Below are 14,278 nucleotides of genomic sequence, written 5' to 3'. Positions count from 1 at the left end.
ATTCCAAAATTGACCACATACTGGGAAGTAAAGCTCTCCTCAGCAAATGTAAAAGAACAGAAATTATAACAAACTATCTCTCAGACCACAGTGCAATCAAACTAGAACTCAGGATTAAGAATCTCACTCAAAACTGCTCAACTACATGGAAACTGAACAACCTGCTCCTGAATGACTACTGGGTACATAACAAAATGAAGGCAGAAATAAAGATGTTCTTTGAAACCAACGAGAACAAAGACACAACATACCAGAATCTCTGGGACACATTCAAAGCAGTGTGTAGAGGGAAATTTATAGCACTAAATGCCCACAAGAGAAATCAGGAAAGATCCAAAATTGACACCCTAACATCACAATTAAAAGAACTAGAAAAGCAAGAGCAAACACATTCAACAGCTAGCAGAAGGCAAGAAATAACTAAAATCAGAGCAGAACTGAAGGAAATAGAGACACAAAAAACCCTTCCAAAAATTAATGAATCCAGGAGCTCGTTTTTTGAAAGGATCAACAAAATTGATAGACCGCTAGCAAGACTAATAAAGAAAAAAAGAGAGAAGAATCAAATAGATGCAATAAAAAATTATAAAGGGGATATCACCACCAATCCCACAGAAATATAAACTACCATCAGAGAATACTACAAACACCTCTACGCAAATAAACTAGAAAATCTAGAAGAAATGGATAAATTCCTTGACACATACACTCTCCCAAAACTAAACCAGGATGAAGTTGAGTCTCTGAATAGACCAATAACAGGAGCTGAAGTTGTGGCAATAATCAATAGCTTACCAACCAAAAAGAGTACAGGACCAGATGGATTCACAGCCGAATTCTACCAGAGGTACAAGGAGGAACTGGTACCATTCCTTCTGAAACTATTCCAATCAATAGAAAAAGAGGGAATCCTCCCTAACTCATTTTATGAGGCCAGCATCATTCTGATACCAAAGCCAGGCAGAGACACAACCAAAAAAGAGAATTTTAGACCAATATCCTTGATGAACATTGATGCAAAAATCCTCAATAAAATACTGGCAACATGAATCCAGCAGCACATCAAAAAGCTTATCGACCATGATCAAGTGGGCTTCATCCCTGGGATGCAAGGCTGGTTCAATATACACAAATCAATAAATGTAATCCAGCTTATAAACAGAGCCAAAGACAAAAACCACATGATTATCTCAATGGATGCAGAAAAAGCCTTTGACAAAATTCAACAACCCTTCATGCTAAAAACTCTCAATAAATTAGGTATTGATGGGACGTATTTCAAAATAATAAGAGCTATCTATGACAAACCCACAGCCAATATCATACTGAATGGGCAAAAACTGGAAGCATTCCCTTTGAAAACTGGCACAAGACAGGGATGCCCTCTCTCACCACTCCTATTCAACATAGGGTTGGAAGTTCTGGCCAGGGCAATTAGGCAGGAGAAGGAAATAAAGGGTATTCAATTAGGAAAAAAGGAAGTCAAATTGTCCCTGTTTGCAGATGACATGATTGTATATCTAGAAAACCCCATTGTCTCAGCCCAAAATCTCATTAAGCTGATAAGCAACTTCAGCAAAGTCTCAGGATACAAAATCAATGTACAAAAATCACAAGCATTCTTATACACCAACAACAGACAGAGAGCCAAATCATGAGTGAACTCCCATTCACAATTGCTTCAAAGAGAATAAAATACCTAGGAATCCAACTTACAAGGGATGTGAAGGACCTCTTCAAGGACAACTACAAACCACTGCTCAAGGAAATAAAAGAGGGTACAAACAAATGGAAGAACATTCCATGCTCATGGGTAGGAAGAATCAATATTGTGAAAATGGCCATACTGCCCAAGGTAATTTACAGATTCAATGCCATCCCCATCAAGCTACCAATGACTTTCTTCACAGAATTGGAAAAAACTACTTTAAAGTTCATATGGAACCAAAAAAGAGCCCGCATCGCCAAGTCAATCCTAAGCCAAAAGAACAAAGCCGGAGGCATCACACTACCTGACTTCAAACTATACTACAAGGCTACAGTAACCAAAACAGAATGGTACTGGTACCAAAACAGAGATATAGATCAATGGAACAGAACAGAGCCCTCAGAAATAACGCCGCATATCTACAACTATCTGATCTTTGACAAACCTGAGAAAAACAAGCAATGGGGAAAGGATTCCCTATTTAATAAATGGTGCTGGAAAAACTGGCTAGCCATATGTAGAAAGTTGAAACTGGATCCCTTCCTTACACCTTATACAAAAATCAATTCAAGATGGATTAAAGACTTAAACGTTAGACCTAAAACCATAAAAACCCTAGAAGAAAACCTAGGCATTACCATTCAGGACATAGGCGTGGGCAAGGACTTCATGTCTAAAACACCAAAAGCAATGGCAACAAAAGACAAAATTGACAAATGGGATCTAATTAAACTAAAGAGCTTCTGCACAGCAAAAGAAACTACCATCAGAGTGAACAGGCAACCTACAAAATGGGAGAAAATTTTCGCAACCTACTCATCTGACAAAGGGCTAATATCCAGAATCTACAATGAACTCAAACAAATTTACAAGAAAAAAACAAACAACCCCATCAAAAAGTGGGCGAAGGACATGAACAGACACTTCTCAAAAGAAGACATTTATGCAGCCAAAAAACACATGAAAAAATGCTCATCATCACTGGCCATCAGAGAAATGCAAATCAAAACCACAATGGGATACCATCTCACACCAGTTAGAATGGCAATCATTAAAAAGTCAGGAAACAACAGGTGCTGGAGAGGATGTGGAGAAATAGGAACACTTTTACACTGTTGGTGGGACTGTAAACTAGTTCAACCATTGTGGAAGTCAGTGTGGCGATTCCTCAGGGATCTAGAACTGGAAATACCATTTGACCCAGCCATCCCATTACTGGGTATATACCCAAAGGACTATAAATCATGCTGCTATAAAGACACATGCACACATATGTTTAAGACACATGCACACATATGTTTATTGCGGCATTATTCACAATAGTAAAGACTTGGAACCAACCCAAATGTCCAACAATGATAGACTGGATTAAGAAAATGTGGCACATATACACCATGGAATACTATGCAGCCATAAAAAATGATGAGTTCATGTCCTTTGTAGGGACATGGATGAAACTGGAAATCATCATTCTCAGTAAACTATTGCAAGAACAAAAAACCAAACACGGCATATTCTCACTCATAGGTGGGAATTGAACAATGAGATCACATGGACACATGTGAAGGGGAATATTACACTCTGGGGACTGTTGTGGGGTGGGGGGAGGGGGGAGGGATAGCATTGGGAGATATACCTAATGCTAGATGATGAGTTAGTGGGTGCAGTGCACCAGCATGGTACATGTATACATATGTAACTAACCTGCACAATGTGCACATGTACCCTAAAACTTAAAGTATAAAAAAAAAAAAAAAAGAAAATACAAAAATTAGCTGGGTGTGGTGGCGGGCACCTGTAATCCCAGCTACTCAGGAGGCCGAGGCAGGAGAATCACTTGAACCCAGGAGGCGGAGGTTGCAGTGAGCCCAGACCGCGCCATTGCACTCCAGCCTGGGCAACAGAGCAAGACTCCATCTCAAAAAAAAAAAAAAAGAAAGAAAGAAAGAAAAATATATCAAAGAGATATCTCATTCTCATGTTTATTGCAGCACTATTCACAAATAGCCAAAATATGGAATCAACCTAAGTGATCATCAATAAATGAATGGATAAAGAAAATGTATGTATATGTACATATGTATGTGTGTATATGTACCTACACACACGCACACACACAATGGAATATTATTTAGCCATAAAAAATGAAATTCTGTCATTTGCAGCAACATGGATGGAACTGGAGGTCATCATATTAAATGAAATAAGCCAAGCACAGAAAAACACATATTGTATGTTCTCACTCATACGTGCAAGCTAAAAAAGTGAATCTCCTGGAATTAGAGATTGGTGGTTACTAGAGGCCCGGAAGGGGAAGGGGGAAGATGATAAGGGAAAAAAAGATTATAAATGTATTTACTATCACTGAACAGTACACTTTGAAATGGTAAAGATGACAAATTGCATATGGATATTTTCCCTGAATAAAAAAAAATAAAATTTAAGTGGAGTCAAGAGAAGGAGAAAGGAGCAGATATAATGACATAAGTCCCTGAATTCAGCTGTGTCTTAAGTCCATTCTTGTACATCCAGTTACATGAGTCAACAAATTATTTTTCTCCAAAACAAAAACAAGAAACAAGCAAACAAAAAAGGATCCATTTTGGCTAAAAAAAATCTATAGGCAAAATGTTGTTCATTATGTTCTTAAACTTTCTTTTTTAATTTCCACATCACCTATGGTTATGCTGTTTTGTTCACCCAAGCAACTTCTATTTGTGCCTTCTCTCCTTTTTTGATTGTTCTTCCCAGAGGAAGACTGTTAATTTTATTAATCTTTTCAAAAATACAACAGTTATCTTTCTTGAGTCTTTCTGTGGTATCTTTATTTACTTTTTCATTAATATATGCTATCTTTATTATAATCTTCCTCCTTGTTGAAGAAATTTGTTTTGCTACTATTTTTCTAATGTCTTAAGTTGCATGCTTAGTTCTTTAATTTTTAGCCTTTCTTCTTTTTTTAATATATACATTCATGGCTGTCCATTTTCTTCAAAGCGTTGTTTTGATGCATCTTATAAATTATTTGTTGTATATTCATTATTGCTCAATATTTTGTTTTTCACTATAATTTTTGCTTTAATCCATAAATTACATAAAGTATGTTCCAAAATTTCCTAAGACTGCTGGTGCAGTGATCTGTGAATGTCTGTTGGACCAATAACACAATTAGTGTTATTAAAATTTTCTATATCCTTTTTGATTTTTTAACTGCTGTATTAATTACTGAGAAAACTAGATTAAAATCTCCCACTCACCTACCAGATATGTCTGGCATGGTTGTCTCTTTACAGTTCTGTCAACTTTTGTTTTATGTATTTTAAAATGATATTAGTGTATATCAGTTTAAGTTTTTATATCTCCCTGGTGAATCGAAACTTTATTGTTATGTAGAAACCCTCTTCATCTCTAATACTCTTTTTCTTGAAGCCTCTTCTGTCTGACTTAATTTTGCTACATCATCTTTTTCTAATCATGTGGACTTTATTACAGTCTATGCTAAGAAATTGAAAATGGGTGACCATGTTCTGACCTCTTTGTTCAAGAGGCCCAAATGACTCCAGCCACATTTTTTTTTCCTTGATAGAATATGATAGCTTCTGAATTACTTACAGGTGGATTCTCCTTGCAGACAGCCTCCAGATAATCATATCTGCCATAACAGCAACATGGCAGGCTTTCCCACTCGGTGGTCCTACAAGCAGCCATAATAGCTTCTGTTCAGTGGCCCTATAAACTACTATATATCAATATGGGCATTGCTCCTTTATCTCTGGTGGCTAAATTGTTATTATCTGAAAGTTTGATTGACAGGATTCCATCTGCCCTGAGCACTGAGGCCCCAAAAAGGATCCTATAGTAACAATTACTTTTTATCCATTAAAACATACAAATAACCACTTCAAAAATGTCTTCAGTTGCAACAGTATCCTTTTACCAACTCATTTATCAAGTTCATTATCAACATGAATCTACTAACCTTACTTAAATAAGATTGCTACCATAGCTGATTAAACGAATGTGTTAGAAGACAGTTAAATGAACTTGAAGTTGGATATCAAAGAGCTTTTATTTTAATCATGCATCTGTGCATGATGGGCATGATGGCATACTGTGGGTATGAGACATGACAGAGATGACACCATAAAGTGGAAGGCAAAAGTATGCTTTAAAATCAAGCCTCAGTTGTGTTATTTGGCAGCTATGTAACCTTGGGCACGTCAATTAATCTGCCTTGCCCTAGATTTCTTCTTCTATAACATAGAGATACAAAGATCTACCTCAAAAGGTTGGTGTGGGGACTAAATTAAAATTTAAAGTATGTGAAAAAAATAGGTACTCAATAAATAAGTGTTCTCTTCACATTTCCTCCTAGTCTAGAGGAAAGAGCCATCTTGAAAGCACTGATCTAATTGAGCTGATGTCTGTCAAATGAAAATCCAGGCCCTTTTTTTTTTTGAAGAATCAGTCTTCTCCTACTACCCAGCAAACCAGTGGACCCAAAAGTTGAAACAAACTGATGACAGACAACAAGCATGAAGATGGCATATTTGATGGCACTTTGGTTCTTTTTCCCAGAAGGCTTATACAGTGACTTAGTCGGGAAGCTTTCCAGCTTCCAGCTCTTGAATGTGAAGTGTCATTGGCATGTCTGGCAGTAGTCTCTCATTCACTCCTCAATAAACAACATTGAATACAAAAGAGGCTGTGTAAAAACTCAAAAAAAAAAAAAGAATCAGTCTTCTAATAATGAACCAGTTTCACCCCTTTTCTAGCTTTACTGGATTCAAATCCACACCATCTCTAAGCGGAACACGGAACTGAGTTAAAGACCAAAGTCTTACAATGTCCATAGGATTGAACTATAAAATGAAACTTTTATCATCAGATTTTAAGTAACAAAACTCTGCTGGTATTCCTCCATGTTAAATAAATTCCATGCACACATTTTGGAATTGTTAAAGCTAAAATCTAATAATTATTACATAGCCCAAAACCTCCTAGAGAGTTTTAAAGCTAGAATTCAGATGTTAGAGAGCAGCACCTGGTGGCAAGTTGTGATACTGGAGTCCACTGAGTCATTTAAGAAGTCAAACCACTGTGGCCACTGAAAATTCCAGTGACCCAGAAGCAGTTCTACATTCAGAGAGCAATCTTCCTTCCCATCTCTCTGTCACCCATTCCTGCCCCCTCCCCACCGACCGTGGAATCACCAAGACCCATCAATTTGCCTCCCAAGCAGCTCACAGAGTCTTCCATGTTTCATCCCCATGCTCACTGCCCCAGTACAGGCCACCATCTTTTATTGCCTGGATTCCAGGAACAGCCTCCTAGGTGACTTCCCAGATTCCAACCTATGCTCCACACAGCAACCACATGGCCCTTTTTATACAACACCGTCACGATCACGTCACTCCTTGTCCAGTAGTTCCTTGATGCCTTCAGAATAGAGAGGTAAGTATTTTATTACAGAATTACCAGATTCTTCTCTTCACCATGGGGCCTTTCTTCCCTCCCAGCATCATCTGTCTACACAGCCTCCCTCCACTCTGAGTGTCGCTCAGCTCCCGTCATGTCACACACCCCTGCTCTATTGCTCTTACCTCCCTGTCTTCACACTGCTGTTCCTATTGCCAGAAGCCTCTTCGCCCCTGTTCTACTCTTCCATTTAACTCTTCCTCATCCTTCAAGCTCAGCTTAGCTTTCATTCCTCTGGGAAGATTCTTTTGACCACTCTAAAATGGATTAGCTTCCCTCGCTCTGAATTCACACAGTAACTGTCCTTCCGCTATCAAAGCAGTGGTTTGTCTGCCACCACTTCTAGACTGTAAGCTTTGTGAAGACAAGACCCATGACTATTTTGTTCATCCTTGTAGCTTCAACACTTAACATAGTACCTCAGCAGGAACTTAATATTTGTTAAAGTATTAGATTGAATTGAAATATAGTATATATTCAGTTGGACCATACAAAATTGCCTTCTTTAAGGTAAAAACTGTCAACTATTGGCAATTATATATGTGCAACCTGATAGTTGCTACCAATATGGGAAAAGAAAGGTATCTTAACAATTTATATATATTCCTAATCAATAAATGTCTTTTTAAAAAATACAATCTTCTTGATTTTCCCTGAAATCCATTTTCCTAGCCATAGACACAGTTAGAAACCCATTAATTCAGAAAATGACCTTCAAAAGGAAAACCCAAAGACCTGTGCCAGCAGATCTTTAAAAACACAACAGACAATCAAAAGTTAACTTTCTGACCTTGGAGAGTGTTTTGGCTGATAAATGACACTGACCTTATCGTGCCAACCTGCTAATCATTCCCTGGACATGCATGCAAGGGAGCTAAATCTAGAACATTTTCCATTCTGCCAAATGCTCATTGCAGCTGTTACATTATCCATCATTCAATATTTCCCACAAGTGGACATTGCCACTCATTGTAACCAGCCCCAAAACTCTTGCCTCCATTTTAAAAGAGCAGTTCCAAAGAAACAAGCAGCGAGTTAAATAAATGCATCTGTGCTTCCACTGGAATCTGCTCGTACTTTCCAATAAACATGTTCAGTGAGATAGAACGGAATGGTGGGCTCCAGGACTAAAGGAAATCTGCCAAGCAGATGTTGCTTTTGTGCAGTTGACTATCCCTTAAAAGCTTCATATAAGACTAACAGAAAACAGGAGGCAAGGGTAAAGAGGTAATTTTCTTTAGCCTGTTTAGTGCTTTCTCCACTTTTATATGAAGAGATAGCCTGGTTTAATTTCCAGGTGCAATGGATACCTCACAAGCATTCAGTGATTTGAATAGTTTATGTATTACACATTCCATATAAAAATTCCATACAAGAGCTGGGTGCAGTGGCACATGCCTGTAGTCCCAGCTACTCAGGAGGTTGAAGCAGGAGGCTCGCTTGAGCCCAGAGTTCAAGTCCAGCTTCAGCAACATAGCGAGAGCCTGTCCCTTAAAAAAAAATCATATGTATTCTTGCTGAAATACACTGACTTGCTACTTCTACTTATTACTATTCTGGCTCAGAATGTCCTTTCTTACTTAACCTTTGTTTTCTGCATCGTATTGGCTCCCAAATAATTATATTTTATGCTAAAACTTCTCCCATTTTCTTCTCAGCTAGATGTGATTTGAGGCAAAGTGTTTAGAAAATCCATTTGCCTACAGCTTTGTTTTTGTTTATTTGAGGATGGCATTTTTAAATGCAATTTTAAATTTAGTAGTTTTGCCTCTTCTTGTTAAATTTTTTTTCTTGAGAAAAAAAAATGAGAAGTTTAAATCAATGTCCCACTGTATGCCAAACTAAAGATCCACAAATGTCTTGACTGTCTCTTCTCCTGCAGTCATCTCTCCTAATGTGAATATACAGTGTTTGAGGCAGGGAGAAATTTATCTCCTTCCAATGTATTAATTTGATATCTGTTTAAGACCTAGGCAAAACTATAATAGGTTGTTTAGAAATAGGCATGTTTTTGCCAGAAATCAAAATGCATAGTTGAAGAATATGGTATAATTTTGGTATTAAAAAAGGATCTATTCAATTATTACAACACAATTTCAGGGTAGTGGAAAAGTCAGAAAACCTGGGTCCAAGCCATGACCCTCCATTTACCTGCTGTGTAGCTCTGAGCAAGTCTCTTAAACTCTCTGACCAGGTCTCCCTGCTCATGGCAGTAAGATTAATGTGATCATTGATGCTGTGTGGAAACAGAATGTAATAAATGTCACATTTATTTTTCTTCATTTTCCCAAATCAAATTATATCTGACCCTCTCCCTGTCAGGGACACCACTGGTGGCCTGCACAACATCCATTCCAATGTTCTCCCTAGCTGAGCCCTGATTTTTGTTCAGATGTCCATCATTTGCCACCCCAGCTCTAGCCCAGGTGAGTGAATCCTGAGTAGTCCCAACAGAGCACCCTGTCAGAAGGAGGATGGGGTACAATTCTGGCCTGAGACACACAGGAAAGCAGAAAGCTTCTGGGAAACATTTCCTTCCGTCTTTCAAGGAGACACAGAATGAGATGGTCTCTTCTCCATTGGATACAGGCATCTCTAGATGTGAAAACAAGGCAGCAACTTAAAGCCACAAGGGACCATAGCCTGAAGACAAGACCAGTCAGTTGAAGATGGCAGAGAAGAAAGAGAGAAGAATCTAGGTCTCTGGTGGCATTTTTGAGCCACAGGGTTAACCAACTCTTCATCCTCCAGACCTTTGTACTTTGTGTTGTCTACAATAACAGAGGTTATTATTATTAAGCCAGCTGAACCCAAGCTTTTGTTATTTGTAGCTAAAAGCATCATAACTGCTACATACCCCAGCTCTCCAAGTTTGGCCAGAAGTCCAATACCAGTCATTTTTCCAAATCCTCTATCTTTGGATCACAGAAGAATCCTGGGGCTTATGAGGCCACCACTGCTGTGACTCCTTCCCAGGCCCTTGAGATTTATTCAAGAGTCTCCAGCTCCACTGACAACTTTGTACCCTCTGTACCAAGTTTGGCCAAAGGGATGATCACTGAGGTTCTTAAGGCCTCGGTCTAAAAAGTAACCCAAATAGTAATTCCCATGTGTGGCAGGCAAAATTTTGACTCCCAAGATCTTTACCCCCTGGTGTTACTCCTGTGTATGTTACATTATATGGCAAAAGGGTCTTTGCAGATAAAATTAAGGTTGCAGACCTTAAAATAGGGAGATTATCCTGGATTACCCAGCAGCTCCAATGTATTCACATGAGCCCTTAAAAATGAAAGACGAAGGCAGAACAGTTTGTCAGAGGTGAGGTGGGAAAAGAGGCAGGAAAGATTCAAAACCTGAGAGGGACTCACCCTGCCATTGCTGGCTTTGAAGATGGAGGCATAGAACCAGGAGCCAAGGAATGCAGGCAGCCTCTGAAAGCTAACAGCCTTTAGATGGCAGCCAACAAGGAATTGGGGACCTCAGTCCTACAACCACAAGGAACTGAATTCTGCCAACAACATGAATGAACAAGGAAACAGATTCTCCCTGAGAGCCTCCAGAAAGGAAAGCAGGCCTGCCAACACCTTGATTTTAGCCTGGAGAGCCTCAGGTGAGCCCGCTAGACTTCTGGCACACAGAAGAACTGTAAGGTAACAAATTTGTATTGCTTTAAGTCATTAAGTTTATGGTAATCTATTCTAAGCAGCAATAGAAAACTAACACACTACACGAGGCTCTGCCACATCTGGGTGCCCTGCTCCAGAAGGCTCATGTCTCTGTCACCCTCAGAATCTCCAGCCCTCCATTCCTCTTCACACTCTTGGGGATCAAACCACACACAAGCCATTCTCCTCCTCTACCTTTATGATATAAAATCTCCAAATACCCTACAGTCACAAATAGTTACACACATCCACACACTCACATAAACACACTGACCTCCCAAATTCAAAACACAGTGACAGGGTTGTCTTCCCTCTGCCAGACAAATATCCTCCCTCCAAAACACACCTCAAAATTAAAACTCTTACTTCTTTCCCTGGAAACTAGGAAAGAAACAGAAAAACAAAACAAAACAAAACAAAAGGCCACATTTTTCTGAATTAACTATGGAAATACCATTCATGATATTCTGTAATTCTTGATATTAAAGGTTCTATTAACTTCTTCTTAATAAGGAACCAATATAATACTTTTGGGCATCTCATCTGTGAAAAGTTATCATATATTTCTTTTCAGGCTCAGAGAAACAGTTAGAGCCATTAAGAGTGTTAACTTTACTTTGAATAAACACAATAAATCCTGGCACCCAATGTAGTTTTTACTATTTTTCTTCTATCCTTTCTTACTGAAAAAAAAAAAAGGAAAGAAAAAGCAACAATAAAAAAAAAACACCTGACTGCCTTACAATATCTTCTGGTGCTATTTTTTATGCTCTCCACAAGTGCAATGGGCTTTATGATATTAGCCTGACCATATTCAAATTAGGTTGGGCCATTTGTTGCTTTTTAATGACCTTTACCGCTTTCACATTTTTCTGCATGTGACCGACATGATCAGTATCGATGACAATAAAAACTCCAATCACCAATTGATTTCTGTTTATGCAAATGTTTACACACAACACACACATACACAGGCATATATCTGATGGTTATAATATATATAATACTGCTTATGTGTGTATATTAATGTTAATATATAATATATAAAATTTAATCTACCTATATTGCTATTATGAGTAAATATTATTTGCACATCCAATACCTATCTTGTTTATGCATTGCCTGTGTTTTCCCAAGCCTGGTCTGAAAGGTAAAAAGAAGATCGCATTAAAGTGAACAGTATTTCTCTGATTTTTCCTTCACACACTATTGTGGCCCCTTCACTTCCCCTTGGTGTCTTCCCAACTGTTCCCAGGAGCCATGGAGATGTCCTGTGTGTGCCCAAGAGCTCAGGCCTCCCAGTAGCCATGTAGTAATAACTGAAGCTGGGGCTCCCAAGACTTATAGAAGGAGCCTTATGGTTGTTGCTGGTGTCAGGCTCCCACTGTGCTCCTCAGAGTCACTTAGCCAAAACTACAGCACCTTAATGCTACCCTGCTAGGCCAAAGCTACAAAGCATGATGCTAGGTCAATGGTGCCCCAACACAGCAGCACCACCTGCATCCCTACCACATTAAGATGTGGCCACTTTGGGCTGAGTGTCTAACACCACAGTCTCCAAAGCAGTGTTCCCAGGTGCTCCTGTGTCATCCAAATTCTTTAATGAATTCTAATTTCAGCTTCTCCTTCCAAGGACACAGTTCACAGTGGGGCAGAGGGCAAACTGAGTGACAGATCAAAAACTGGACTCCAAGTGATCTCCTTGCCTGGAATTTTTTTTTTTTTTTTGAGACAGGGTCTTGCTCTGTCACCCAGGCTAGAGCTCACTGCAGCCTCCACTTCCTGGGCTCAAGCAATCCTCCCACCACAGCCTCCCAAGTACCTGGGAGTACAGACACATGCCACCACACCCAGCTAATTTTTTATTTTTTGTAGAGACCAGGTTTCACCATGTTGCCCAGGCTGGTCTCCAACTCCTGGGCTCAAGCAATCTTCCCACCTCAGCTTCCCCAAATGCTGGGATTACAGCCGTGAGCCACTGCACCTGGCCTGGAATTTTCATATTGCACTAAAATTGTGTGCCTGACTCCCTGTTCCCTTGGGTTGAGTTCTTTCTCATGGGACTGCACAGCTTCTGCTGCAAATAGGATCATTCCCTAATTTGTTCAACAAGTATTGGGGCCCATCAGGTGGCAGGCACTATGCTGACTGTACGTACAGTGGTTAAAAAAAAATGGACTCGGACAGCTCTGGCTCCATGACTCAGCAGTGCCCCAGACGTGTTTAAATCCTGGGGTGAGGGAGAAAACCTAGGACTCAAGCTGGGACCGTGGAAAGAGAAAGAAAGGAAGAAACAAGAAAATAGAGAAGATTTTCAAATACATGATAGAGGAATACAGGTATATCAAAAGAGATGCATGGAGCTTGCTGTATTTATATGTATTTAGTTGTTCAGAATTACATTTTTATTTGTGTTCTAGGTACATAAATAATGCTACAAGCAGTATGAGCATTGTTAGTGGGACTTACGAGCTAAGCAACAGCTTAGCACCCCATTAACTTTGTGTTATAATCTTATGAACAAGCTGTATGGCTTTGAGCAAATTTATTAACTCATTGCTTCAAACTTTATATGAATTATTGTTTGCAGACATAGAAGTCACATCCACATATATTGTAAAGTTTTAGGAATAGAGATGAGGAAGTGAAGAAGACAGCAAGCCTCCCATTGTAACCGGGTGGAGCTCATCTGTATGCTCATATTTTTCAACTTATGACTTTCTGAGCTTGCTTTAATCATTCCCTTCATGTCCAATATCTTTCTTTCTTTCTTCCCATCTATTATCCAGACCCTAGCGTAAGTCCTGTATAGCTAAAAAAAAAAACAGTCCCCAAAAATGTCCATGCCTAATTATTAGAATCTGTTAATATATTACCTGTCATGGCAAAAGAAACTTTGCAGATGTGATTAAGAATCTTGAGATGGAAAGATTGTCCTGGTTATCCAAGTGGGATCAATGTCATGACAGGAGTGTTTATAAAGGGAAGCAGGAGGGTCAAAGTGAGAGAAGGTGATGTGACAGCAAAAGCAGAGAGAGATTTGAAGATGCTATGCTGCTGGTTTTGAAGATAAACATGTATTCTTACATAATAATATATATTTTATTTGTTTGATTGGGGTAGGGATGGAAAAGGTGCTCCAAGTCTGCAAACCTAAGGGCCTGTCTAGCAATGCCCTCAGAGTTCAGCCCATGGAGGTCCAGCCTAGACTGGCCTTAACCTCTCACTAAGTTATGTTTTGTAGGTTGTACTAGAAGTCACTGAGGTTTGGAGAACTATAAACATTTTTAATTCAAATATGTTATCTGGCAAAATAATATGTTATGCCAGCATTTTTCAAATATTTTAGCCATAGAAACCTTTATTTAAATAAAGTACTTTGATATACGTTATGATTGGCCAATTAAATATAATATGAATTTTAATT

The sequence above is a fragment of the Homo sapiens genome, chromosome 12 (genome assembly GCF_000001405.40).
Source record: "Homo sapiens chromosome 12, GRCh38.p14 Primary Assembly".
NCBI lineage: Eukaryota > Metazoa > Chordata > Mammalia > Primates > Hominidae > Homo > Homo sapiens.
The sequence above is the reverse complement of the archived record's forward strand: the minus strand, read 5'-3'. Positions refer to the sequence as shown.